General features: G+C 54.9%; 1 protein-coding gene and 1 pseudogene across 14 annotated transcripts, besides 9 other annotated features; one reads left to right on the forward strand and one right to left on the reverse strand.

The window, feature by feature from the left end:
- Nucleotides 5,899-6,812: an enhancer, noted in NCBI's record as "H3K4me1 hESC enhancer chr22:37439765-37440678 (GRCh37/hg19 assembly coordinates)". NCBI's record gives its function as "activates a minimal SCP1, AML or CMV promoter by ChIP-STARR-seq in naive H9 embryonic stem cells {active_cell/tissue: H9 hESC(naive)}" and the evidence as "EXISTENCE:reporter gene assay evidence [ECO:0000049][PMID:30033119]".
- Nucleotides 13,708-14,017: a silencer, noted in NCBI's record as "silent region_13677". NCBI's record gives its function as "represses an Ori minimal core promoter by ATAC-STARR-seq in GM12878 lymphoblastoid cells {active_cell/tissue: GM12878}" and the evidence as "EXISTENCE:reporter gene assay evidence [ECO:0000049][PMID:35858748]".
- Nucleotides 13,916-25,564, forward strand: KCTD17 (potassium channel tetramerization domain containing 17). 14 transcript variants are annotated; one of them, NM_001282684.2, is made up of 9 exons: nt 13,916-14,123; nt 15,274-15,382; nt 18,494-18,585; nt 19,572-19,667; nt 21,487-21,612; nt 22,997-23,096; nt 23,278-23,349; nt 23,713-23,803; nt 24,699-25,564. In NM_001282684.2, exons 1-9 carry the CDS (start codon nt 13,935-13,937, stop codon nt 24,766-24,768), a joined length of 945 nt encoding a protein of 314 aa, NP_001269613.2. In that variant the 5' UTR covers nt 13,916-13,934; the 3' UTR covers nt 24,769-25,564. The 14 variants fall into 14 exon arrangements, 13 of the variants coding, with proteins under 13 accessions (NP_001269613.2, NP_078957.3, XP_005261799.3 ...); XR_937917.3 differs by lacking the exon at nt 22,997-23,096 and having other exon boundaries at nt 23,278-23,558; NM_024681.4 differs by lacking the exon at nt 23,278-23,349.
- Nucleotides 14,028-14,147: a silencer, noted in NCBI's record as "silent region_13678". NCBI's record gives its function as "represses an Ori minimal core promoter by ATAC-STARR-seq in GM12878 lymphoblastoid cells {active_cell/tissue: GM12878}" and the evidence as "EXISTENCE:reporter gene assay evidence [ECO:0000049][PMID:35858748]".
- Nucleotides 14,028-14,801: a biological region, named in NCBI's record as "H3K4me1 hESC enhancer GRCh37_chr22:37447950-37448667".
- Nucleotides 14,084-14,801: an enhancer, noted in NCBI's record as "H3K4me1 hESC enhancer chr22:37447950-37448667 (GRCh37/hg19 assembly coordinates)". NCBI's record gives its function as "activates a minimal SCP1, AML or CMV promoter by ChIP-STARR-seq in naive H9 embryonic stem cells {active_cell/tissue: H9 hESC(naive)}" and the evidence as "EXISTENCE:reporter gene assay evidence [ECO:0000049][PMID:30033119]".
- Nucleotides 14,802-15,518: an enhancer, noted in NCBI's record as "H3K4me1 hESC enhancer chr22:37448668-37449384 (GRCh37/hg19 assembly coordinates)". NCBI's record gives its function as "activates a minimal SCP1, AML or CMV promoter by ChIP-STARR-seq in naive H9 embryonic stem cells {active_cell/tissue: H9 hESC(naive)}" and the evidence as "EXISTENCE:reporter gene assay evidence [ECO:0000049][PMID:30033119]".
- On the reverse strand, nt 17,282-17,521 carry RN7SKP214 (RN7SK pseudogene 214; annotated as a pseudogene).
- Nucleotides 22,871-23,728: an enhancer, noted in NCBI's record as "H3K4me1 hESC enhancer chr22:37456737-37457594 (GRCh37/hg19 assembly coordinates)". NCBI's record gives its function as "activates a minimal SCP1, AML or CMV promoter by ChIP-STARR-seq in primed H9 embryonic stem cells {active_cell/tissue: H9 hESC(primed)}" and the evidence as "EXISTENCE:reporter gene assay evidence [ECO:0000049][PMID:30033119]".
- Nucleotides 23,729-24,586: an enhancer, noted in NCBI's record as "H3K4me1 hESC enhancer chr22:37457595-37458452 (GRCh37/hg19 assembly coordinates)". NCBI's record gives its function as "activates a minimal SCP1, AML or CMV promoter by ChIP-STARR-seq in primed H9 embryonic stem cells {active_cell/tissue: H9 hESC(primed)}" and the evidence as "EXISTENCE:reporter gene assay evidence [ECO:0000049][PMID:30033119]".
- Nucleotides 25,439-26,262: an enhancer, noted in NCBI's record as "H3K4me1 hESC enhancer chr22:37459305-37460128 (GRCh37/hg19 assembly coordinates)". NCBI's record gives its function as "activates a minimal SCP1, AML or CMV promoter by ChIP-STARR-seq in primed H9 embryonic stem cells {active_cell/tissue: H9 hESC(primed)}" and the evidence as "EXISTENCE:reporter gene assay evidence [ECO:0000049][PMID:30033119]".

Below are 27,150 nucleotides of genomic sequence, written 5' to 3' on the forward strand. Positions count from 1 at the left end.
GAGAGCGGGAGACAGAGCCTGGGAGCAGGGGTGGGGTGGGAAGCCGCCAGGAGCCAAGGGAGGAGGGGGCAAGCCCCAGAGGCTGCAGCTGTCCTGGCCTTGCCATTGCACAGGAGGTGCGAATACGTTAGGCTGGCTGGCAGATTCAGCGTTGGGGAAACGATTGCAATAGAAAGTGAGGCTGAGTATCATTACACTAAGTCACCCGCTTGCCGTTCGAGGACTGCAGAGTCCAAATGGGAGTTGCAGGAACTGGGCTCTGATTTATCATCACACTCAATCATTTATGTTCCAACCGATTCTGCTGCCTTTAAAAAAAAATTGGCCATAAGAAATATTTATTAAAGACCCAAAAATAAAATAGCAGAATAGGCAATTAGAGAAAGCTGTGAATTCATGATTTCTAAATAACTGGTTTTAAAAAAATAAATTATTGGCCAGATGCGATGGCTCACGCTTGTAATCCCAGCACTTTTGGAGGCCGAGGCAGGTGGATCATGAGGTCAGGAGTTCAAGACCAGCCTGGCCAACACAGTGAAACCCCCCTCTACTAAAAATACAAAAATTAGCCGGGCGTGGTGGCGCACACCTGTAATCCCAGCTACTTGGGAGGCTGAGGCAGGAGAATCGCTTGAACCCAGGAGGCGGAGGTTGCAGTGAGCTGAGATCACACCACTGCACTGCAGCCTGGGCGTCAGAGCTAGACACTGTCTCAAAATATATATTATTGTTTGAGGAGACAACACCTGTACTCTGAATAAATCTGAAAAGGTACCAAAGGATTCACAGGAGCCTCCCTCCCAGAGCAGCCCCAGTGAGTCAATTCCTTTCTCCCAGGCAAACACTATGTCAGTTTCTTGTGTATCATCAGAGATGACTTGTGCAGCTAAAAGAAAGCACATATATATGTGTATATATTGTACATATTGCTTCTCTCTTTTTTGTCCATAGCATTTTGTTTTCAGATAATATGATAGTACACCTGAAAAACCCCAGAGAATTAATAATAAAAGTTACTCAAACAATAAAAAAAAAATCAATGAGGTATACAATTAACATATGGAAATCAGGCTGGGCACACTGGCTCAGGCCTGTAATCCCAGCACTTTGCAAGGCCAAGGTGGGCGGATCACTTGAGGTCAGGAGTTCAAGACCAGCCTGGCCAACATGGCGAAACCCCGTCTCTACCAAAAATACAAAAATTAGTCAGGTGTGGTGGCATGCACCTGTAGTCCCAGCTACTCAGGAGGCTGAGGCACAGGACTCTCTTGAACCCAGGAAGTGGAGGTTGCAGTGAGCCAAGATCATGCCACTGCACTCCAGCCTGGGTGACAGTCAGACTCCATCTCAAAAAAAAAAAAAAACAACTAACACACAGAAATCAGTAGATTTCATATACTCAAACAATAGCCAGTTAGAGAATATAATGGTAGCCCAAGTGCAGAGGTTCACACCTGTAATTAATTCCAACACTTTGGAAGGCCGAGGTGGGTGGAACATGAGAGGATCGCTTGAGCCCATGAGTTCAAGACCAACCTGGGCAACGGGCGAGGGGGACTCTGTCTCTACTTTTTTATAAAATAGAAAGAGAAAGAGAGAGAGACTCTAATGGTAGAGAAAAACCTCAGTTACAATAGCAACAAAAAAAATTCAAAAGGACAGAAAAAGCAACTTAACAAGAAATGCGCAAAGCCTATTTAGGATAGCTTTAAAATAACCTCCTAAAAGACTCAAAAGTAGGTTTGAACAAATGGAAGACATCCCTCGTCCTTGAATAGGACAACTCAACATCATAAAAATGTCAGTTCTCCCTAAGATAATTTAAACATTTGACCCATCCACAATAAAAATATCAATATGCTTCTTTATTGGGCTAAAAATGCTGACCCAAGTTCACATGGAAAATCAAGCATGCAAGAATAGCAGGAAAACTTTGAAGAGAAAAAGCTACAAAGGGTCTGACCCTACAAGAATACTCTAAAGACTCTCTGTAATTAAAACAGTGTGTGGCTTGTGCATGAATAGACAGACCAATGGACTAGAATAGTGAGTCCAGAAATAGGCTCAAATACTCCAGGAAACTTAGTGTATGATAAAGGCATCTCAAACCACTGGGGCAAAGATGGACTTCTTTTTTGTTTAAGAGACAGGGTCTCGTTGTGTCATGCAGGCTGGAGTGCAGTGGTGTGATCATGGCTCACTGCAGCCTCGAATCCCTGGGCTCAAGCAATCCTCTTGCCTCAGCCTCCCAAGTAGCTGGAACTACAGGTGCGTGCCACCACACCCAGCTCCAAGTAACTCTTGAATGCGATATTTTGGCTGTTTGGACTATACATACTCAGGCAAAATACAAAATAAACAAAAAAACTTCCGATAACAAATATTGAACTCTTGTTAATAGGTTTGTTTTTCACAATGTTATAGGTTACCAATTATAAAACTAGGACTGGCTAAATAAGTAAGGAAATGTATTAAAGATACTGGGAACAAACTGTTTCCCTATTGGAGAAAAGACAAACAAATATGGAAAGGGAGAAGACTTAAATGAAGCCTGTGGTGCTGGACTGAAGTTGGAGATATCAGCGTGAACCCAGGATTTCTACTATAGACAGGTGCAGAAACAAGTGTGTGTGTGTGTGTGTGTGTGTGTGTGTGTGTGTGCACGTGTTTCCCAGCTCTAGCTCTGTTCCTTGAGATTTCCTGAAAGCAGTGACATCCTAGTGCAATGAGGCCACCAAATGCTCAGGTGTTGGTTTTATCTTTTCTTTTTTTGAGACGGAGTCCTGCTCTGTCGCCCAAGCTGAAGTGCAATGGCACGATCTCGGCTCACTGCAACCTCCAATTCTCAGGTTCAAGCGATTCTCCTGCCTCAGTCTCCAGAGTAGCTGGGATTACAGGTGCCTGACACCATGCCTGGCTAATTTTTGTATTTTTAGTAAAGACAGGGTTTCACCATATTGGTGTCAAACTCCTGACCTCAAGTGATCCACCTGCCTCGGCCTCCCAAAGTGCTGGGATTATAGGCGTGAGCCACCACACCCAGCCTGGTGTTGGTTTTAAATACCATTATCCATCAAAAGGAACTGGAGCTGCCGGGGCAGGAAAAGTATAATACGAGCCCAGACTGTTTTGCTGGGCCAGAAAGGAAGGAAGTGCTCAAATGATAATGGGGATGAGTCAGAAGGATACAGGAGCCAGTTGGGAGAGGAGAATAGAGACCTGCTGTTTAATGAGTAGAGAGTTTCAGTTTTGCAAGATGAAAAGAGTTCTGTGGATGGAAGCTGGTGATAGAATCACAACAATGCGAATGCATGTAATGTCACTAAACTGGACACTTAAAAATGGTTAAAATGGTACATTTTATGTGTATTTTACTACAATGTTTAAAAAGATTCAGTGTTTAAGAACCGGTTTTTAAAAAAGGACACAGGCTGGGCATGGTGGCTCATGCTTGTAATCTCAGTGCTTTGGGAGGCCGAGGCGGAGCGGAACACAAGGTCAGAAGTTTGAGACCAGCCTGGCCAACATGGTGAAAGCCCAACTCTACTAAAAATACAAAAACTAGCAGGGCATGGTGGCGCGTGCCTGTAGTCCCAGCTACTCAGGAGGCTGAGGCAGGAGAATCGCTTGAACCCGGGAGGCAGAGGTTGTGATGAGCCGAGATCGCACCACTGCACTCCAGCCTCCATCTCAAAAAAAAAAAAAAAAGAAAAATCGATGGGGGAAAGGAGTAACTGTACAGCTCAGAGACCTGGCAGACACCACCTGCACAAAATGATCAGCCCTGATCTCACCAGTAATGGGAGTCATGGACATCAGATTCCTTCAAGACCTGATGCACTGGCAAGAACACAACCTCATTTCTATGAGAGTCCTGCCAAAAATGCATACGCTGAATCCAATCATGAGGAAATATCAGGCAAACCCACACTGAGGGTAATTCTACTAAAAAAAAAAAAAAATCACCTATACTCCAAAAATGAAAGCAAGAGAAACTGTCCCAGATCAAAGGAGAACTAAAGAGAAATGACAAGGGAATGCAATTGTCCTAGATGGGCTCCCAGAGGCTTTTAGCAAAGTTTTTTCCTTTCTTTTTCTATAAAGGACATTAGTGGGACAAATGGAGACTGGAAGAAATCTGTAGATAAGCTATGGTATGTAACAGTATTAATTTCCCGACTTTGACCATTGTCCTGTGGTTATGGAGAGAATGTCCTTGTTTTTCAGAAATCATGCTGAAGAGTTTAGGAATGAAAAGTCATTAATTTTGCAGTTTACTTTCATATTTATTTATTTTTAATTTTTATTTTTTTTGAGATGGAGTCTCGCTCTGTCGCCCAGGCTGGAGTACAGTGGTGCAATCTTGGCTCACTGCAACCTCCACCTCCCGGGTTCAAACAATTCTCCTGCCTCAGCCTCCTGAGTAGCTGGGATTACAGGCATGTGCCACCACGCTCGGCTAATTTTTGTATGTTTAGTAGAAATGGGGTTTTATCATGCGGGCCAGGCTGGTCTCGAAGTCCTGACCTCAAGTGATCCGTCGGCCTCAGCCTCCCAAAGTCCTGGGATTACAGGCATGAGCCACCATGCCCAGCCTGTAGTTTACTTTCAAAAACAGTTCAGAAAAGTAACAAAGAAGGTGGGGAGAGAACAAAGGAAAGACTGTGTGAACACTTGGTGCGTCTGGTAAAGGCTCTACGGGATTTTTTACTATAATGTTTGCAACTTTTCTCTAAGCCTAAAATTATTTTCAAAGCGAAATGTTTTGTTGTTATTTCAATGCAGTTTTTTCTGATTTAGTTTCAGCTAGGGCTGCTCACTGACCCCACTTTCTTTTTTTTTTTTTTGAGATGGAGTCTCTCTCTGTTGCCCAGGCTGGAGTGCAGTGGCCCGATCTCAGTCACTGCAACCTCCACCTCCCGGGTTAAAGCAATTCTCGTGCTGGGATTACAGGCGCCACCAGGCCTGGCTACTTTTTGTATTTTTAGTAGAGACAGGGTTTCACCATATTGGCCAGGCTGGTCTCCAACTCCTGATCTCAAGTGATCCGCCCACCTCAGCCTCCCATAGTGCTGGGATTACAGGCATGAGCCACTGCGCCTGGCTGACCCCACATTCTAAAACAAGGTGAGGTGCTGGACTCTCGAAAGCATTTCTTGCTACTGAAGTGGTTAAGAGCTAGTCGTAGAACCCTACGACCACCCCCTGACCCACACCTCTCCTGCCCCCGGCAGAGATAGGAGAGCTGCCACCAGGAGCAGCAGGAAGGTAGAGGATGCTTTCTCTGGTGGCAGATGTTGGGGTGCTGTCCCATGGAGGAGGTGCATGGGGTGCCTCCCCTCTCCACAGGCTGAGTGAGAGGGCTTCAAGGAGGCCATCTGCGGAGCTTCACCCATGTGTCCTGGATTCTGGGGGTCTCAGAGGCTGGGTGGGCCCTTGCCTGGAAAAGCCTGCATCCTGCCAGCTGCTCCTTGCTGGGGTCAGGAGGCACATGTGCTGTGAGTCTTGTCAGGGTGGGGCCTGCCTGCAGGCTTTTCTGGGCCCAGCTGAGAGCTGGCCGAAAGGAGATGGCTTGGAGCTGTCCAGATGGGGAGTTGGTGCATGAGTGCACAGAGGCTGGAAGCGGGGTTGGGGAGTGGGTGGACGGTGGAACCCAGGAAGCTGATCCTTGGGGAGCATCCCAAGGGGCGAACCAGAGAAGACACTGCCCAGGAAGAGACCTGTAGTAGGAGCTACTCCCAGCAATGGGGGCACCAAAGAACCCTCAAAACAACCTGCCAGAAAACAAGGAGCCAGCTTGAAACATCTGCTCCGGCCACAGCAAAGCCACACCAGAGAACAAAGGACGCCAGGCAAGGAAAACCTTTCCTGCCCTTCCTTCTACCTGCATCCCCACTCCCTCGAGGGAGGAAACAGAGGGGGGATCAAAGGGTAGAAGGAGCTGGAGGACAGGCTGGGGCCAGAGCAGCACAGAGCACTCCTTGGGCTCCTCCTCTGTAAAGTGAGATCACGGCCACATCTCCCTGTTGGGTTACGATTAAAAGAGATCATCCACAAAAGTGCTTGGTGCAGTCCCTGGCACACGGAAGTACTCATAAACGTCCCTCTGGCAGCAGGGGCAGAGTCCACGGGGCCCAGGGGGACAGACGGTAGGTCCCTGGTTCTGTGCCATCAAGCTGTGGAATTACATGCATTGGAGCCAAGCAGACGTTGAGGCAGGAGAGGGGAGTCCTGGGGAGGGGAGGCTGGTGAGAGGCCGGCTGCCATGGCCTCAGTCCCAAGAGCTGAGCTTCTGCAAAAGGAATCAGCAGTAGCAGACACATAGGCAGGCAGGTGCTCTGGGGCTGCTGTCCAAGACACTCCCCAAGGACCTCAGCAGGCAGGCGCACCCCCTGCTGGTGAAGAGGAGTCTCCAGCCACTCTCCCGCCCAGTCAGGTCAGGCTGGGAGCGCGCTGAGCCCCACCCTGCTGGCTGAAGGGAGCCGAGCCCGGGGCCCAGGTGGTCCAGCAGGGACCCAAGGGGCCAGCATCACTGCCGCCCCCACTGCATCTTTGTGCAAATTAGAGAAGGCACCCTTTCCTCCAGACATTCCTGCCCTTCCTTCTACCCGCATCCCCACTCCCACCAGGGAGGAAACAGAGACGGGGTGGAGGGTAGAAGGAGCTGGAGGAGAGGCTGGGGCCAGACATTTCCAAACCTGTCACAAGTGCTGAGCTTTAGACTTTCAGAAACGAAGGAGACAGGGACTCTCCCCTGGAAGAGCTCACAGAGAGGGCCTGTAATGTCTGCAGACTCCAGGGTCACCGTCATATCATGAAAGGGTTGTCAAATATTCAGGTCTATGGACCCATATCTAGCCTCTCTGAGAATGATGCTTCCAGCCCAGGACCTAACACATAATAGATGCTCGGTGATAATGGCTAATATTCACTGTGTGCAATAGCACTAATAAGCATGAATTACATTACAATGTAAATATTGCAAACGGTTTGAAGAGGTTGCATAACTAACTAACAAGGTGTCATGAGTCAGGGTCCCAACCCGGAGTAGAGATTCAAACCCTGGGCCGTGGGCCTCTGGAAGCCTGATCTCATGTACCCATAGCTCTGGCTGGTCAGGAAACACTCTCTCTGATCGGATATGCCCGTTTCTCTCCTCAAGTGACCTGAAAAGGTGCAGAGGCTCAAAACCAAACACCCCCACATCAAGGATAAGTAACAGAATTGGCCCCAGGCAGTGATAGGATTGGATTTGACATAAAGAACAGAAAATGGCTGATCAGAATGTTCTGATGTGCTCAATCTGGGGAAGAGAACTGAAACCAAAAACCCAGCAGGGATGAATGACGTCTTAGTCATGGAACTGACAGGAGCTGTGAAACAGGCCACTCAGAAGTGAGGCAGAGACTGCTGCTAAGCTGAGAAGGTTCAAAACAGGACTCAGTGATGCGCTCAGGTGAGAACTTCAGGATGTATCTTGTGTTCTTTCAGCTCTATCTGGAGCAGAAAAAAAAAAAAAAACTCCTGGGCCATTCTAGGTCACAGAGGGGTGGGGGGGGTGACATGAGGAAATGACAGCCAGCCTGCTCTGGAGCTGGGGTCATCTAGGGTGGCCTTTCTCTCTACCTTTCCCTCCAACCCCAGGAAGGGGGAGTTGGTGGGCTTGGTTCTTCCCTGACCAAAGAGAAATGGATGTTTAAGGGGCAGCCTTTGCATCAGGCACTGATCTTGGGTCCAGGCAATGATAGACAGGGTGGCAGGACTGGCTTCACCAAAGCCAGCGTTCCCTGGTCTTCACACAGGTGGCCTGGCGAGTGCCCTCCACCTGCTAGCTCTTTAAATCCTCACAACAGCTGCAAGAGGTAAGCACTATTACTGTTCTTAATTTAGAAATGGGGAAACTGAGGTTCAGAGAGGTTAAATGACTTTGAAAAGTTACCCAACTGATAAACCACGAAGCCTTGGCTAGCATCCTTGTCTGGGGGCCTGTACCCCTTAACCATATCTCTGTTCTATTTCACTTTCAAGTGGAGTCCAGAGCCATATTAAAAAGCACTGAATGGGACGTGCGTGGTGGCTCATGCCCGTAATCCCCGCACTTTGGGAGGCTGAGGTGGGATGATCGCTTGAGGTCAGGAGTTCAAGACCAATCTGGCCAACATAGCGAGACCCCATCTTTAAAAAATGATAATAAAAAATAAAAATAAAAAGCACCAAAGCACCTGATCCCTAGTGGTCTTGTGGTTGGAGGGGGAATAAAAGAACGAAAGGAAAAAAAAAATACTTGAGGCTGCTCTTCCCAGAAGAAGACATCAGGGGGCGGTGTAACCAGCAGGCATTTGAAATCTGGCCCTCCTCCAGTTTAACCATCACCCTGAAAAGCAGCTAAGGAATGTCTGGAGTTTTATCATTATCCTCTGAATGAGGAAGACATGCAACAATCTATGCAGAGTGACAGTCCATGACTGCTGATACGGAATTCCATATTTTGTCCAAGCCTCCCAAACCCACCTACCCCAAACCAAAGCCTTCCCTAGGGCAGAGGCCACCTCTGGCAGCTTCACCTCTGTGTTTCAATGTCTGGTTTATATAGTGGGTACCCAGCAAGCCCAGCGATGGCCTGAATGCCAGGCCGGTTGTGGGGAGGGGCCAAGCATCCTTTTCAGAGGTGGGTGCACCTTTTCCCAACCCAAACATGGCTTCATCCGGACAAAGCCCAGGCACGGGCAGGGATATGGTGGCATCTGTCGGCTCTATTTAAGGGTCCCAGGTCTTGCCACCTGGCTGTTGGCTGTGGCCCTCGCCAGTGAGGTTGTGGCTTCAGATGGGAGCATTTTAGGAGCTTGCTGAGCAGAGCGCTGTGTCCAGGGATAGGTTGGGGTCTCTGTGGAAAGGACGGGGAGTGAGACTGGCCCAGACAAAGCCTTTCCCTCCATTTTGGGACCAAAGGTGCTGGCCAAGTCCCCACCTGGCACTCCAGGGCTGTATCTAAAAGGGCAGTGCCTGTGGGACGGCGGAGACCAGCCCTGCCCCAGGCTCAGACAGGCCTGTGTTGGACCAGCTGTGGGACTGCAGTTTTCTCATCTGTAATGTGCTGTCAAGAGCACCTGCCGCAAGGGTGCTGTGGGGTTCCATGGGAGGCTGGAGAGCAGAATGGTTATCAGCTGTGACTTCAGATCCAGCAAGACCAGGCTCTGAGGCCAGCGCAGTTCTCAGTAGCCATTTCCAGCACGACCTAGTAGGGACCTCTGGTCTCTGAGCCATGACCTCACCCTCTGTAAGATGGGGGTGGGAACAAGATGGATCTCATTGGCTTGCTGTGAGGATTACAGGAAAAACACATGGGCGCTACTTGGTCCAGAACAAACCCTCAATAAATGACAGCTGCTGATCCTGCTGTCACAGGATGCCTGGGACACGGTCTGTGGCACATAGCAGATGGTAAACTTGTCTTCGTTGGATACACATGGTACGTGTGGCGTTGCACTTAGGACAGTGTCTGGCACATGGGAAGCATGAAGCAGTGAAATAAAATAATATGGGGCCAGGTGTTCACATCTGTAATTCCAGTACTTTGGGAGGCCAAGGTTGGCGGATCACTTGAGGTCAGGAGTTACAAACCAGCCTGGCCAATATGGTGAAACCCAATCTCTACTAAAAAATACAAATATATGAATTAGCCAGGCATGGTGGTGGGTGCCTGTAGTCTCAGCTGCTCAGGAGGCTGAGGCAGGAGAATTTCTTGAACCTTGGGTGACAGAGCAAGACTCTGTCTCAAGAAAAAAGTAGGCCGGGCGCAGTGGCTCATGCATGTAATCCCAACACTTTGGGAGGCCGAGGCAGGTGGATCACCTGAGGTCAGGAGTTTGAGACCAGCCTGGCCAACAGGGTGAAGCCCCATCTGTACTAAAAATAAAAAAAAAAAAAAATTAGCCAAGTGTGGTGTTGCACATCTGTAATCCCAGCTACCCGTGAGGCTGAGGCAGGAGAATCGCTTGAACCCAGGAGGCGGAGGTTGCAGTGAGCTGAGATCGCACCACTGCACTCCAGCCTGGTTGACAGAGTGAGACTCGGTCTCTAAATAAATAAATAAATAGAAAAAAATAAAATAACACGGAAATACAGCATGAAGGAAGAAGACTCCATCTCTGCCCTAAAGATATTCCCAGTGTATTTGGGTTTCTGTTCCATTCATCCCCCTCCCAAAGTCAGGCCCAGTGTTTGACACCTGCAATATGGCAGAGTGGGGACAGGGCCTGTCCTCAGGGAGCTCACACTGTAGAGTGAGGGAAACAGACCAGAAAATGGTGCTACTGGAAGTGGGGGTGGTCTCTGGGTAGGTCCCCCACAATGTAAATGTTGGCTCTTACCCTTCCCTCCCCCTTTCTCCCTCCCTGCCCCTGGGCTGTCCCCCACCCCAACTATCTATCTTGGCACCAACGCTAGGTTAAGATTCCCCAAATGCCACACTGATGACACTCCTCCTTTGCTGAAAGACTCGGTGCTGTCCAAGTCCTGCTGTAGCATCCACACGCCTCAGTACAGAGAGGCAACCCTAGGTGGGCAGCAGCTGGCCCAGGAAGCATGGGAGCTGTTCCTCACCTTCCTGACTTTTTTTTTTTTTTTTTTTTTTTTTGAGACAGGGTTTCACTCTGTCACGCAGGCTGAAGTGCAGTGGTGCGATCATGGCTCACTGCAGCCTCGATCTCCTGGACTCAAGGTATCCTCCCACCCCAGTCTTCCCAGTAGCTAGGACTACAGGCACATGCCACCAAGCCTGGCTAATTTTTTTAAATTTTCTGTAGAGACGGGGGTCTTGCTATGTTGTCCAGGGTGGTCTTGAACTCCTAGGCTCAAGAGATCCTCCCACCTCGGCCTCCCAAAGTGCTGGGATTACAGGCGTGAGCCACTGCATCTGACACCTTCCCAACTTCTCCTCAGGTGAACTCCTTGTTTCATTCCAACTGGCCCACAGCTGGCCTCTGGAATGCCCTCATTCTTCCCCATACAGCTTTGCTCTTTCTTCTTTCCCCTCTCACCCCACCCTCCCCTCTCCCCACCTCCCAAGACCCTCCCTGGGCCCTTTTCTCTGACACTTTGTTGTTGTTGTTGTTAAGACGGAGTTTTGCTCTTGTTGCCCAGGCTGGAGTGCAATGCCGCAATCTCAGCTCACCGCAACCTCTGCCTCCCGGGTTCCAGCAATTCTCCTGCCTCAGCCTCCCAAGTAGCTGGGATTACAGGTGTGCGCCACCACACCTGGCTTATTTTTTATATTTTTGGTAGAGACAGGGTTTCATCATGTTGGCCAGGCTGGTCTCGAACTTCTGACCTCAGGTGATCCGTCCTCCTTGGCCTCCGAAAGTGCTGAGATTACAGGTGTGAGTAACTGTGCCTGGCCTGGGCTCCCCCTACTCTTGACCCAGATGTAGGTGGTCTTCTAACTGGTCTCTCTTCTAACTGGTGCTTCAAACCACCCTCCCAGCAACCTAAGGGTGATCCACATTGCAAATCTGACCGTGTCACTCCCCTGCCTGCCACCCTTGCGTGAAAGAATAAGTATCTCCTGCTCTAGTTTTGCTTTAGCTGACAATGGTCAAGGCCTCACTAAGTGCCAGCAGTCCTGCCAGTCTTTCAAGGCCACTTCACATCCCATCTCATTCACCCATTCATGCATTCAACATAGTAAATGCCAGGGACTGTGCTAGGTGTTTTTTTTTGTTTTCTTTCTTTCCTCCCTCCCTTCCTTCCTTCCTTCCTTCCTCCTTCCCTCCCTCTTTCTTTCCCTCCCTCCCTCCTTCCTTTCCTCTCTCTCTCTCTTTCTTTGACGGAGTCTCACTCTGTCACCCAGGTTGGAGTGCAATGGCATGATCTTGGCTCACTGCAACCTCTACCTCCCGGGTTCAAGTGATTCTCCTGCCTTAGCTTCCTGAGTAGCTGGAACTACAGGCGTGAGCCACCATGCCCGGCTAATTTTTGTATTTTTAGTAGAGAAGGGGTTTCACCATGTTGGCCAGGCTGGTCTCGAACTCCTGACCTTGTGATCTGCCTGCCTCGGCCTCCCAAAATGCTAGGATTACAGGCGTGAGCCACCGGCTGTTTTTTGGTTTTCTATCGTTTTATTTTTTTAAAATAGAGATGGGGGCCAGGCGCAGTGGCTCGCACCTGTAATCCCAGCACTTTGGGAGGCCAAAGTAGGAGGATCACTTGAGCTCAGGAGTTCAAAACCAGCCTGGCCAACGTGGTGAAACCCTATCTCTACTAAAAATACAAAAATTAGCCAGGCGTGGTGGTGCATGCCTGTCATCCCAGCTACTCAGGAGGCTGAGGCATGAGAATTGCTTGAACCCAGAAGGCAGAGGTTGCAGTGAGCTGAGATGGTGCCACTGCACTCCAGTCTGGGTGAGAGAGTGAGACTGTATCTCAAAAAAGAAAAAGAGAGAGAGAGAGAGAGAGAGAGAGAGAGAGAGAGAGATAGGGGTCTCACTATGCTGTCCAGGCTGGTCTTGAACTTCTATGCTCAAGCGAGCCTTGGCCTCCCAAAGTGCTGGGATTACAGGTGTGAGCCACCGCACCCAGCCTACGCTAGATGTTTATAGACATTTCATAACTTAATCTTCACAGCAATGCTCTGGGGTCACAACTGTTGTAAATCCCATTTGGCAAGAGAGAAAGCCAATCTCAGAGAGGAAGTTGCTCAGGACACACCTAGTGAATTTTAAGTAGCAGGATTCCAGTACACCTTTGATCCACTCCCTGCCAAGGAGAAAAGCTTTATGCAGAAAGCAGGGCATTGGGTGGTAACAGGGAAACTTCTCCCAGCACAGGGCCAGGCTGCCCAGTGTTCGGGCCAGCTGCGTGTGACATTGGATCAGTGAGAGGAGCCCCAGACCTCTCCCCCATAGGCCAGGACCAGGACTGAAACCAGTAAGGAGAGGAAGCTAAGGAGACAGCTTCCTCGTCAGCCCTTGTCCCTCCCTGGTCCCGGACCACATGAGGAACTGCTCCCTTCCCCCATCCTGAGGTCCACAGAATGACGGTTCCCCTCCGAGTTAACTGGGGAATAACTCAGAAAGCCACCCGCAGAACCAATCCCTCCTCCTTCTTAGGGAGGACGTGGAAAAACTGAGAAAGGCCAAAAGCCAGAATGGAAACTCAGTTCTCCTGACTCGGATCCAGGGCGTGCTCTACTCTTCCTCCTTAGAAGTCTTTCCCAAGGATCCCTGACATTCCATGGTCAGGGAGCAGGAAAGAGACCTTGGTGGGTACTCACTCACCAGCAATGTGAGTAGGGCGGTCACTTCGCTTCTGTGGCTTCATCTGTAAAATGGGTATAGCCCAAAATACCAGACTCACAGGGCTGCTGAGAGCTTAAATTCATAACACATATACACAAAGTGTCTGGCATACAGGTGCTCAGCCAACCTCAAGTCCAGCTATGTCGTTCTCCAAGAACTCAGGTGAGGGAAAGAACCCACTCCCACCCACCCCGCCCCCACCCCTATACACACAAAGGGCAAATGAAAAAATATGACGAAACACATGCGGGTCAATGCTATGGGGATTCCTGGAGGGGAAAGTTTCTTCCCTTATCAGCTGTTGGACGACGGAGACGGCACAAAGGAAAAACAAGAATGCTCGGACCCATGGGATGACTGCAGATTTGGGGAAGCCCTCATTCTTTTCCCAGAGGCCGGGAGTTCGACCTTCCCCATACACAGTGATTTGGCCAGAGGGCATCTTCACCACCCCAGACTGCGGGCCTGCGGGGAAGGGCGAAGCGGGGCGGGACCGGGGGCGGGAGCAGCGCGGGGCGGGACCCTACCCGCGGCCCACGCGGAGCCAGGAGGCGCGGACTACAGCTCCCGGCCTGCCCCGCGTGCGGTCCCCGCCCGCCCCCAGCGCCCGGGAGGAGGATGCAGACGCCGCGGCCGGCGATGAGGATGGAGGCCGGGGAGGCAGCGCCGCCGGCGGGGGCGGGCGGCCGCGCCGCAGGCGGCTGGGGCAAGTGGGTGCGGCTCAACGTGGGGGGCACGGTGTTCCTGACCACCCGGCAGACGCTGTGCCGCGAGCAGAAGTCCTTCCTCAGCCGCCTGTGCCAGGGGGAAGAGCTGCAGTCGGACCGGGTGAGGCCCCCGGGGTGGGCGGCGAGCGGGCGGTGGGTCCTCCGCTCGCCCGACGCGGGGCTGTCGGGCCTGGCTCGCCCGCCAGGCTGGGGACCCGGCCGGGTTCATTTCCGAGGAACTGGAGGCGGGAAGAAGCGGCAGGAGGAGGGGAGGGGGAGGTGGGTCTGGTAGTGAGGGATGTACCCATTGCCGTGGCAACGGGACGACGCAGGCCGCGGCCATTAGAAGCTCTCCAGCCGCCCCGGATCGGGGCCTCTCCTTCTCCTTTGGGGCTGTGGACAGGGAGAGACCTGGGACCTTTCCTCCCTCCCAAAGGGGACTCCTGCTCTGGGGAAGGAGTCGACGAGGCTACTTCTCCCGCTCTTTGGGATGTGGGTGGCGGAGGGGTGCAGGGAGCTAGCTGGATGGAGGAGCCCTGGGGCGCCTTCTGAGCGGGCTGAATCTAGAAGGAGCGTTGGCCCAGCGGGCACTATTTCTGAGCACCCACCCTGACTCTGCTGCACACTGCCTGCCGCGACCTTGAGTCGGACCCTTCCCTGCACTGCGCTCAGCCTCCTTCCTCATCTGTAACACGAAGGGCTGGTCTGAAGATGACCTCTAAGGTCTCCTGTCCCCCATCCGTGACCCTCCGATGCTGTGGCCTTTGGCAAGTCGCCTCACCTCTCAATGTCTCCGATCTCTCTGTAGAGTCGCATGGAAGCCCACCCTGCCTCCCTGCCCGCCCGAGTGTCCAGTGAGATAGTGACTCCTTTGGAAACTTGTAAACATCCCCTGAAAGCCTAGGGACCTGGGGGCGACAGTGGGGCTGGCTTCAGGGGACAGCCTCTCAGAGGGACATTCTTCGAGCCCTGTGCTGGGCCAGTTGCCACTCAGACATCCTCTCACCGGATGCTCACAGCAAACCCTGATTAGGGGGAGAGGAGTGAGTTTCAAAGAGGCCAAATCATTAGCCTAAGGTCACACATTCAGGAAGAGTCAGAAGCAGGGCTTGAACTCAGGTCCATCTGACCCCAGTGCCTTTTTGCTACTTTGTGCCTGCTCCATCCAGGGAAGAGCTCTCCCTCCACTCTCCTTCCCTCCCTGTGCGTGTGCGGGGTTGGCTGGGGAGAAGCCTCACTCTTCTCTCACCGAGCATCCCTCACCTCCATAGGATGAGACCGGGGCCTACCTCATTGACCGTGACCCCACCTACTTCGGGCCCATCCTGAACTTCCTCCGGCATGGCAAGCTGGTGCTGGACAAGGACATGGCTGAGGAGGGTGAGTTGGTCCAGGGGGCTGGCCTGGACCTTATGCAGCCTGCCAGGGCCCTCTGTGGAGGCCCCAAGCCATTTGGACAACCAGGACGGCCATCTGCCTGCTTGGTTGTTTCCTGCCTCTTCCCAGTCGGACGGGGCTGATTCCCAAGCATCTGCCTGTGCCGAGCCTGGGGCTCTGCCAAGCGGACGGGCTCAAGCTTTCCCTGGGTACTGTCAGGGAGGTGAAGAGACACATGTGCAGGGGATAGAGGAAGTCAGCGAGGCCCTGTGGCCTCTGCTGTGGGCTGTGACGCCCTTTCTCTCTGGCCTCCTAGGAAGCCAGGTGTGGACGGTCACATCCGGAGGCTGGGGTGACAGGAATGCAGTGTTGACAGGCATGGGGAGAGCTCTGTCTCTCTTTCTCTGGCTGATCCAGTATCTCAAATTCTGCCTGGTGAGGGCTTGTAAGTGGGTGGAGCGGGTGACTGTTCACTAAGTCTGGCAGCCTGTGCGGCACAGTGCTGGCTGTGGGTGGAGGCAGGAGAGGGGGGAGTCTGCTTCCCAGTGGGGCTTTGGTTATCCCCAGGCCTAGGTGGCCGAGGCCCTGGATATGCCCATATCCGGGCCTAACAAACAGTGGGGAGGCCATGTCTGGGAGAACGACCTGTTAGCAGAGCTGCAGCCAGGGGCAAGGACTACAGTCAGTGCCAAGTTAACTCTTCTTTGGGACACAGGGTGTGGCTCTGGGTCAGCTGATCCAGCCAGACCAGCTTGAATATGTCACTTCTCCTCACTGCGTCTCCACTGGTATCTATTCAATGGGGGCGGTGATCTGCCTTCTGGAGGGAGATGTCATAAATCCTGCACCTGTGCGTGCCTTCCTGCTCTGGGCCATGGTCTGCCCTCCCTGAGCCCTATGGGACACAGTGGTCTGGAGGCCCAGCAACTCTCTAATAGGTCAGGGCCACAACACCAGAGTCCACTGTAGGTGCCTGGCCCTGCAGAGCCCCACAGCTTGCCTGTTAATCCCTAGGGGAGCACAGATACCATGGGCGTGGCCTAGGCTCAGGAGCAGGCCCCATCGGGAGGGAAGTAAACACCCCAGCTGCGTCGCAGCCAGCACCTGTTTACACGCCCTGCATTCTCAAAGCCCTGCTATTCCCACACCGTCAGACAGCGCTGTCTGGGGGCTAGAGGATCAGACAGGGTTATCTGGGGGCTAGGGGATCACACAGGGCTATCTGGGGGCTAGGAGATCACACAGGGCTATCCGGAGGCTAGGGGATCACACAGGGCTATCCGGGGGCTAGGGGATCACGCAGGGCTATCCGGGGGCTAGGGGATACACAGGGCTAGGGCTCATCCAGGGGATAGGGGATCTGAGAGGAGACTTACTAGCTGTGTGACACTGAGAAAGTGACCTAACCCCTCTGTGTCTGCATGCCCCCATCTGTGAAATGGGGGACCATAGCACCCACCTCACCGAGCTGTCATGAGGATAAAAGGAGTTAATAGTGCAGCATGGAGCTCAGTTCCTGGCCGGAGGATGTGGGATGCAGTGCTAGCTGTCTGTCACCTGCAGGGCTCCGCCCAGGGCACTGGGGATAATTCTCGTAATCAGGCAGCTGCACTCCCTGACCTCCTGCTCTGTGTTTGGTCCTGTGTGGGCACCGGGGACAGAGGGCAGATCAGAAATGTGAGCCCCATCTTAGCCATTTCAGGCTGCAATCATGAAGTAACATAGATTGGGTGGCTTATGAAAATCAGAAATTTATTTCTCTTGGTCCTAGAGGCTAGAAACCCGAGATCGGGGCACTGTGGCAGGTTCTGGTGAGGACTTTCTTCCGGATTGCAGACTGCTGACTTCTCGTTGTGTCCTCACATGGCAGAAAGAGAGGGAGCTAGCCCTCGCCCGCCCCTTCTCGAGAGCTTGTTTGGAGGTTCTAGCAGGGGAGCGCAGCTACTCACATACCCTTGACCAAAGTCCGGTCCTCCTCTATCGGGGGTGGTCGCCCCCTTCGATGGAGCTCACAGCTTCGGGAGGGACACACCTGGAGCAGTGAGGGAGGAAGGGGACACACATCTAGCCAGCCAGATCAGCTAAATCAACCCTGGTGATCAGTGGAGTGACAGATGTCCCCGCCAGATCGCCCTCACATCCAATTAGCCTTTCTTATAAGAAGACTGATCCTACCCTGGGGACTCTACCCCCATGATCTCATTACCTCCCCTCCTAATCCCATCACAGTTTTCAGCAGGTGGATTTTTGGGGAACACACACATTCTGCTCATAATGAGCTCTGTCCCCAGGGAGCCCAGAGGCCAGTCAAGGAAAGGGCCCAAAGGTCCCCTGCCTTCTGGGAGCCTAGGGGAGTCGAAACAGCTGCAAGCTCATCGCTTCACTGGTGGGCTGACTTCTTCATCTCCCAGATTAACTTAACTGTAAGATGGGGACAGTAATGCCTGCTCTCCTCATATCCCTGGACTTGTGATGAGCTCGTGCAGGGTGTTGCAAACTGTAAGGTGAGGCAGTTGGGGGAATGCATGGACACAAGGGTATGTGCTTACAGTGGGGAGACATGGGCTCTGGAGTCTGCAGCGCTTGAGTTCCCTCTGGCACTTACCAGCTGTGTGACCTTGGACAAGCTGCTTCTCTTTGGGAGCCTCAGTTTTCCCAGTTGTTCAATGCAGATGATGAAAGTACCTCCTTCTAGTTCTGAGAATTCAAAAATGTAATGCACCTGGCACTTAGAATGTGCTTAATAAATAGGAGCACATAATCAGGGGTCAGGCAAGGCCCTGCTCATGGTGACATTCTGGGGATCAGTCCCAATGACCCTGCTGTCTCTTGATAGCCCTAAAGCTGCCCCAGACGGTGGCCTGGCAGGTACCCCTGGGTCACCGCACTCAGCACAGCAGAGCTGTGTGGCAGCCCCTCAGCCCCTTCCACAGGAAGTGTGGGATCCAAGGAAAGAAATGCTCCCTCTTACTTGACCCCTGAACTCACAGACACTCAGCTCACCCTCAGGGCGGGTGATCAGAGCGAGAGGTGGGTTTCGGGGTGGAGGGAACAAGAGGAGAATGGGGCATGGAGGCAGAAGGAGTGACCTGGGATCTGTTCTGTCTGTGCCAGGGGTCCTGGAGGAAGCCGAGTTCTACAACATCGGCCCGCTGATCCGCATCATCAAAGACCGGATGGAAGAGAAGGACTACACGGTCACCCAGGTCGGGAGCAGGGGCAGCACACACGGCCAGGGCAGGGGCCAGTGGGGAGAGAGAGGCTGAGAGACGGGGCGGGAAGCAGAGGAGGTTGGGAGAGACAGGACCAGTGTTTGTCATGGGGAGGCCGAGCTGGCCTGTAAGGAGAGGCATGGTTGGGCTGACAGGCTGCCCAGCACAGCCCCAGACTCGGAGACGGACACTGGGGTTCAGTCCCTGTCTCAGCCCCATTTGCTGTGTGTTGGGCCAGGCTCGCCCTCTCCGGACCTTGATTTTCTCTTATGGGATAGAGAGGGGTGGGAATGGCACACCCATCCCTTCCTCATAGGCAGAAGGGGGTCAGTGTGGAGGTACAGGGTGCCCTGCAGAGGAAAATGCAGGATTAGCAAATTGTGCCTTTTGTGGCATCAGATGGTCGCCTGGTGGGCTCGGCACAGGCTGTTGGGGCTGGCGTTTGTGACCTTGGAGCCTGGGCCTCCCTGGCCAGTCTGCAGGAGGAGGGAAAGAGATTTTCCGCCTACTCTGGGGGATGTGTGAGGGTTGGGGGACAGGTAGTGAGGAACCATTTCTCAGGCCCAGGGGATTAAAGAGGGGAGGCTCCGTGTCTCCTTGAGGGCCTGACTCCTTGAGGGTGACCCAGAATGTTCCCTAAGCCCCACCCATGTTCTTTCTTGAATTACCCGTGTTCCGGTTCTGTCTCCTTCACCCTTGAGCTGGGTGACCTTGGGCAAGTAACTGGACCTCTCTGAGCCTCAATGGAAAGTCCCGTAATGCCTAGGATTCTTGGAAGGATTAAGTGAGATGGTGCCTGGTAAATGCCTGGTGAGGAGCAGGTGCTCAGAGCATGGCTGCCTCCCCCCAACCACCTCTTCTTTCTCTCCCTCTCTTCTTCTTTGGGTATGTTGCGGGGGTGGTGGCAGCAGGTGCTCATGCCCCTCCTGGGGTGCCTGGTGCTCCCACAGGTGCCCTCTATGTGACCCTTCTGCCCACAGGTCCCACCCAAGCACGTGTACCGCGTGCTGCAGTGCCAGGAGGAGGAGCTCACGCAAATGGTCTCCACCATGTCTGATGGCTGGCGCTTCGAGCAGGTGCGCTGGGGACAGGGGCGTGCCACCAGGACAACCCTGGGACCTCCTAGCCTCTGACCAAGCAGGCCCCTCCCTTCCTGCAGCCCCAGCCTTGGGTTCCCCACCACAGTCTCCCCCAACCCCAGGGTTCTTCTGAAATCAAATTAAACAAGGTTAGGAGAGACCACACTTGGTGGCAGGTTGACCGAGAGAGAGGATAGGAGCCCCAGTGGCCATAGGACAGCACGGGGTGTCCTTGTTGGTGGGAGTCCTCACAGCAACTGGGTGGTGATCTATCTGGTGGCATGAGTGAGTCTGTGGCCCCCGAAGGACAGCTCAGGTGCAAGGAGACCAGATCCACATAGGTGAGTGGAGTCCACATTGAGTCAGTACCTCTTAGAACTCAGAGTCAGCATCATGCGATCATAGCAGTTCCTGACACAGTTTTCAGGGTCTCCGCAGGGGACATGCCCAGTGGCCAGCATTGCAACATGCAGGGGAGCCCAAAGCAGTGCCTTCCCATGAGGTCTTTATGGTGAACGGTGGTTCCTCCCAGTCCAGATGCAGTTTACCCATCGGGAGATCCTTATCCCGAGGGACTTTATCCCTAGTCATGCAGCTGACCTCCCACCTTTCAGGTTTCCAGAGGAGCAGAGCCAGAAAGTGAGCCCAGGGTCAAAAGTGCCTTTAGAGAAGGAGAGGGGGTTGGCTAGCCTTTCTCCACGCCCACCCACACGTTCCCTGGCACATGGAGACTGCAAGGCAGAAGGTCGGAGCCCCCAGGATGGCCTGGAGGGATGGAAGAATGGGCCTAGTGCAGAGCCAGAGGCCTGGCTTCACCTCTAGGCCTTGCCACAGACATGCCTGCCACCTTGGGCAAGTTACATCTCCTGTGCGGGACCCAGTTCCCTCATCGGTGAAGTGGGCTAACAGTACCTCCTCTGTAGGACTCTTGTGAGATTAGAAGGGCCATCAGTAAAGCTTACAGCCCTCCGTAGGACTCCCTATGTTGGCATTAGTGTCATGCAAATCATTAGAAATCCATATTGAAGTCTGCAACACTCAGAGAGGACTTGGGATCCCCGATGCCATTCCCTGCTCCACCCCTTCCTAGCTGTGAGGCCTTCAGCAGGCCTGAGATTCTCTTCAGGGTCCCTGAGAGCTGAATGAGACTCATCACCTGGAAGAACTTTCTTATTTCTTAGCCAGAAGGGCTCTGTGGGCGTGGTTATTCTAGGGACCCTGGAACAAGGGCAGGGCCACTCTGAGAGCCTCTGGGTGTCTTTGGCAATTGCACAGGCTCTCAGAGGCTGAGCAAGCAGGCCAGGGACCATTGGTCATTTGCCCTTTGGTCTCAGGAGTGGACCACCTGTCGTCCCACCTCTGCTTCCAGGAGTGAAGGGAATATTCTGTGGGGCTCCACCTTGCCAATGCCACCCTGCAACCTTGTCCTGGGGCTGTGTCAGCCACATCTGGAATGGGGGACAGCCGCCCTTTAGAGGCCTCCGCCTGCATTTAGAAAAGGGCCCCCTGGCTCTGGGGCTAGGCTGGAGGTGGTGGTGGGGACAGCGGTAATGCTGCCACCCTCCACCAGGGATCGGGCCAGCCAAGCCAGGCGGAGGGGCTGGTCCTGGGGCACAGACCACAGGCACAGGTTGCAAGGGGGAAGACTCCACCTTCCTGCCCAGAGGTGCCCTCTACAAACCCAGGAGTGGGCCCGACAAGCCGCAAGATTAGGACCTGAGCTGGTATCTTGATTTGAGTGCCGAGGTCTGTCGTATCCTGCCCCACGGCCCCCAACACCAACCTGCATTTTTCTCCCCATGCTCCGCCCCTCTAGCTGGTGAACATCGGCTCCTCCTACAACTACGGCAGCGAGGACCAGGCAGAGTTCCTGTGTGTGGTGTCCAAGGAGCTCCACAGCACCCCAAACGGGCTGAGCTCAGAGTCCAGCCGCAAAACCAAGGTGAGCCCACCCGCCTCAGCCTGTGTCCGGAGAAGTCTCCTGTCTCCCTCCACCCTCCCCGCCTGTCCCGCCCCTGCGCCTGCACCATCCCTCCACCTCTCTCCCGCCACCGCCCATGCACAACCCCATGCTCACAGCCACCGCCATCCATCCCATGCCACCTGCCGTTACCCAGGCCCAGGCTGGGAGCAGTGAAATGAGAGCATCCCCAGGGTGCAGCCGGCGTGGACTCAGAGGCTACATGAAGGGGGCCGCTTAGTGGCCACTGGGCACTGTGGCATGGACTAGGGGTCAGGGCACAGTGTGGCACTCTCTGTGTGACTTAGGACAGGGCTTGTCCTCTCCCAGCACCTTTGCTGCACTCTCTGAAGTGAGAGGGGAGGATCACATACTCTTTGTAGTGCCTTGGAGCCTGGAACTTCTGGGATCCCAAATGGCCGTTTATTCCCCAGGGACAGGTGCATGTCCCCAGCTGGCCTGAGCCAGGATGAGGAAGCCACCGCTGTAAATCCTGCCCCTTTCCCAGGCCCCCTCCTTGGCTGCTCTGCAGGATAGGGGCAGCCTGGTGGCTGCCAGTCCTGTGTGTCCGCCTGGCCTGTTGAGGCAGCCTCCTGAGAGCACCCTGGCAGCATCCACTGTACCACTGTGGGGAGAGGGCTGAGCGGGGGTCCTGCCATCCTGGACCCAGTGCTGTGGGAAGTCCCAAGGGCCTTCGCAGAGCCACAGAGCAGGCGTGAACCAGGCTGGGAAGAAGGCAGGCTGCTCCTCCTGGGGCCCAACCCCACACAGTGGAGGCTTACCTCTGGCTTCCTGTCTATCTGTCTGCCTCCCTGTCCTGCTGTGACGCACCCTGCCTGCCCACCCACCCCCACCACTGCCAGGGCTGACGCTGCCCTGCAAGGGTGCAGAGCGAGACTGCTCCTTCTGCCTCTTTGGGCCAAAGCCCCTGGACCTGGGGTGTCAGAGACTGGCTGGCATCCCAGATCTGGGTGGTGTCTGCCCTGGGGCTTCCTTGGCCACATTTCTACTGAGGAGCAGTCTTTCCAAACAAGGCCTTCCCAGGCACCCCTCAGGGATACCCCAGTCCCACACCCTCCCTGTTCTGCTTCATCCCCTCCCTCCAGCCTCGCTCTATGTAACAGCAGCCAGGCTGACCCCGGAGCATGCCCACAGCATCCCATCCTCAGCTGCTTTCCCCAGGCCCTCCCCAAGCTGCCCAGGGGACCGGAGAAGATGCCCCCAGCTTCTGTGGCTGGAGCCCTCCCCTCTCCTGAGGTCCCTTTCACCTTGCCTGAGACCGGGTCTTTGGGGATAGCCAGCAGGCCCTGGCCCCTCTGTTAGTGTCTCCACTCTTTCTTCCCTGGGTCCGCCGGCTGGTTCACAGAGCACGGAGGAGCAGCTGGAGGAGCAGCAGCAGCAGGAGGAGGAGGTGGAGGAGGTGGAGGTGGAACAGGTGCAGGTGGAGGCAGATGCACAGGAGAAAGGTGCAGCCAACCCCCAGGAGGATGATTGCTAAGCAAAGCCGGAGCCTCCCGCCCACTCCTTGCTGGAGCCAGCTGCAGAACCGGGGGCCCCGGGGCTGCTGGGGGGGCACCAGGGTTAGCTCAGCCACTTGCCTGGCGCCTCACCCGCATAACCATCCCTTCTCTCACTTTCTCTTTGCAGCCCAGTCATCTCAGGATCCCGCTAACCTTTTCTCCCTCCCACCACTGCCTCCTCCTCCGCTTCCCGCTGGAGGTCCTGCCTCATCTTCATCCACCTCTTCTTCCTCCTGGATCTCATCTGCACCCTGCCTCTTCCCTCTCTGCCCCTGTCCGGGTTTTCTCTCTGCCTGCTCACGCCTCCATCCCGGGTCTGCCCTGGTCCCAGCCTCCCGTGCCCTCCACCCAGGCCCCCTGGCCCTGCATCCCAGAGCGTCCTGCCTGCCGCCTCCTGCGCCCCTTCTGGTACCTCCTGCCTCCCAGCCTGGGGAGGAGGGGCGCAGCTGCACCTCCTCTGTGCCCACTAACCCTGCCGGGCACCTCTGAGACTGGGCCCTGGCTGCAGGCCCTGCCCCCCCTCCTCTCCTCCCGGCCTCCTCCTCACGTTTCCTCCTTGCAGGTTCCCGTCCGCACCCTCTCAGACCTGAGGCTGAGCTTGCAGTGAGGGCTTCTCCTCGGCCCCTCGCCCGCCCCCAGAGCTGCCATCCCTGGTTTGTAGCTTGGCGGTGCTGGAGGGAGGGGTGGAGCGAGGAGGGTGCTCATCTCTTGATCCTTGGACTTGAGCCGAGCTTTCGGCTGATTATCTCCACCCACCAAAGTTTCTCATCCGACCTTGGCCTTGGGGGTGAGGCTCTGAGAGGAGAAGAAAGTTAGGGAGTGGGAACTTTCCTACCAGCCCATCAGCACCAGAGCCAGGCTGGTGGGGAGGGAGGGACCGCTGAAGCCAGAGGCCCTGGCCAAGTCCCTGCACATCCAGGAGCTCCTGTGTCACTGCCTTGTGGCATCCCCTATTTCTGTGGGGATGGGGAGGACAGGCCACTTTTGGATACCCTTGGCCCATGAAGTGTCAGCCAGAGTGGCTTAAGGATTGCAGAGTGGCAGAAAAAGCCCTGGCCATGTGCCCACAAGCCCCCTATCCCACTCTTTTCTGCCTGCTCTGTGACCTTGGGCAAGTCACTGTCCCTCTCTGGGCCACAATTGCCTCTAAAATTGGGACAGACAGCTGCTCCCTGTGGCTTCTTTCGCCTGGGGCATCAGTGCCTCTCCCAGCCCTGAGCAACCCCCATCCCACCCCCTTCAGAGTCTTGGCAGAATCTGGCCTCTGTAGGTGGCCGCCACCGAGCCCAAGACGGGGCATGGGGCTCCTGGATGGGTTAGTTGGGGAGCCCTTGCTGCTCCCCCCAACTCAGTTCTGAATCCACCTTCTTTGGGCCTCAGCCCCACCCCCTCCTCCAGAAGGAAGCCTGTGACTCAACTGCCTCTCTCTCTCTCCCTCTCCCCCACCCGTCAATCTCCTCTCCGCCCCCTTGCCCTGCATCACCCCCTCCTTACCGGCCCCACCTCCGCCCCTCCCATCCTCCTGCCCTTCCCCTCTTTTTTTTCTAGCTGTTACAAGCCAGAGGCACCCGGATGTGAGGCCCCAGATCACCTCCAGGGACTTGGGGTTCCCATCTGAAATCCTTTATTTTTGTACCATGGGGTGGGCCCCGGGCCTGAGAAGGAAGAAGCACCCTCTCCCCGGCCTCCTCTGTCTGCACCCGTGGGGCTGTGACTTACTCCTGCCTCCAGGGGCGGGGCGGGGCCCCCCTGGGACCTCTTAAGGCCCAAGGTGGGCCCCAGGACCTCTGGGCAGAGTGGACTGCTCATGGCAGATGTGTGGCAATGTCTGGCTGTGTCTCTCCGGCACCTGCGTCCCCTCTCCCGGGCTCCCCTGCTGCATGGTGGATGTGCTCCTTCCTGGCCCGGTCACATTGCCTCCTTGAGCCTTAGTCCAGGGGGTCACTCCTCCCACCCCACCTACCTCACAGGGTTGTTGTGAGGGTGCACAGAGGAGCAAAGTCCCTGAAGGCCCTCAGGCAGTATATAGGGGCCGCCCACCTTCAGCTGCCCTGGGATGGGAAGGACCCAGCCCGACCCCTGGGCATAACACTGTGTTTGCAAATGGAGATTCAGGTATTGGGGATGCAGGTTGTGGGGAGCTGGCCTGGCAGAGTAGGGGTAGTTGGCTTGGCCTTCTCTTTGGTGATCCCACCCCCAGCCATTTGCATTGCTGGCCCAGCGCCTGGCCTGGGGGGCGGGGAGAGGCAGCAGAAGGGGCTGGGCAGGGGCGGTGGAGGACTCAGGAACTGCCCGGGGAGAGTGGGTATGGCGGCTGAGCCAGGGGCCCTCCTGTGTTTGACTTCCCGGGATGGGTCCTTGCTTCTCAGCTGTGTCCGACCCCACCATGTAATAAAACCCAAAGGAACAGCCCAGCCTGGCTGTTGCCCTCTTTCTCTGGGCCACTTTTGGGGACGGGGCTAAACTAAAGGTGTGGTAGTCTGGTCCAAAGGAACGCGGCTTTGTCCCAAAAGCCCAGGGACGCTGCCCTGTTGTCATTTTCCTGTGTGTGTTGCAGGGAGGGCTTGGGGAACTGGCTATATCCTTTGCCCTGGGGCCGGATACCAGAGCACCTGCCCTACCTGGCCGGGAGCCAGAAAACAGAACTCTAGGGAGAGCCCTGGGCTGCCTCTGCCACATCCTAAACCTCTCAGCGCGCCCCCTCCACTTCTACTCTGACACCTGGGCCACCGCCATCCCTCCCTATTGCTGCCACCCCTCTGCCCAAAATCCTAGGAAATATAAACACCCCGCCCTCTCCCTTCTCTGACCCTGCTGGACCCAGCCCAGACCCCAGACCCTCCACCCACCCTGGCCAGTTCCTTCAACTCCTCAGTCCTCCCCGCTGCTCGAGGAAATCCTGCCGGGCAGTGAGCCCCTAAGGCGCAGGCCTTCCACAGGCTGGGGCGGGGGCACCCTCTTGCCAGCTCAAGCCTGGAGGGCCTCGCCACTTCCCCTGAGGACACTCCACTCCAAAGCTGGACTCATTTTTAGGGTCCAACTATCCTTGCAAAAGAGTCACCAGGAGGCTTGTTAGGAGAACAGATGACACGTCCCCCGCCCTCCAGGATTCCGATGAAGACTGAGGTAGGGCCCAGGGTGATTCCAGATCACCCAAGGTATTCTGCATGTGTTCTGCCCACCTGCTCTGGAGACGCTCCCTGCCCACCCAGCTGCTCCGGCTCGTCCTGGCAGGACCCAGGTGGGTGCTCCCCGTCCCTGGTTCCCCTTCTGCCTCATTCACCCACAGACCTGGCAGCAGCGCCCATGTTGGAAAAACCCCTCTTCAGTCTGGGGCCCCTCTGAAGCTCCCTCTCTCCCTTCCGCTCCCAGTTAGGCGTCTAGAAAGAGTTGTCCACACTTGACCGTCCACCCTCACCTCCAGCGAGCCCCCTGCCTCCATCACAACTGCCCCCAGGGGTCTAAAATCATCCTCCAGTCCATCCCATGGCGCTGCTCAGTCCCGGCCCATCCTCTCCATCCTGGAATCCTGCGGTGGCCTCCTAACCAGCCTCCCTGCCTGCCGCTCCCTGCACACTGGTGCCAAGGCTGGTTCCAAAATGTGAATCCTCTCATGTCACTCCTATGCTATAGAGCCCACCGTGGCTCCCCAGAGCTTTCAAGATCAAATCCTTGGCTCAACCCCAGGCTCTGCTATCCCGCCTCAGTTCGCCCCTCTGAATTCTTGAGTCATCCTCTCGAGCTCTGTTCTAACACTCACTCGGCTTGCTGGGTCCTAGCGTGCCTCATTCTTCCGGGACTGTGCCTTTGCACGTGCTCTTCCCTGCCTGGAATATCCTTCCCGGATATTCCCACCTGGACCACCTCTGAACCCCAGCTCAAGTCTCACAGCCTCCAGGCAGCTTGCCTTGACTTGCCCAGTCCACGCTCCCCTCCGGCCCCTTCCCACTGGATCATCCCCACTGCTCCTGGGGTCAGGAGCCAGGTCCTTCACCCCTGT

This window comes from Homo sapiens, chromosome 22 (assembly GCF_000001405.40).
Source record: "Homo sapiens chromosome 22, GRCh38.p14 Primary Assembly".
Taxonomy (NCBI): Eukaryota; Metazoa; Chordata; class Mammalia; order Primates; family Hominidae; genus Homo; species Homo sapiens.

Coding starts and splice junctions, on each gene's coding strand:
- KCTD17 (XM_011530374.3), top strand. CDS start 13,935: ATGAGGATGGAGGCCGGGGAGGCAGCGCCGCCGGCGGGGGCGGGCGGC. Junction 14,124..15,273: donor AAGAGCTGCAGTCGGACCGG/GTGAGGCCCCCG, acceptor TCACCTCCATAG/GATGAGACCGGGGCCTACCT. Junction 15,383..18,493: donor CAAGGACATGGCTGAGGAGG/GTGAGTTGGTCC, acceptor TGTCTGTGCCAG/GGGTCCTGGAGGAAGCCGAG.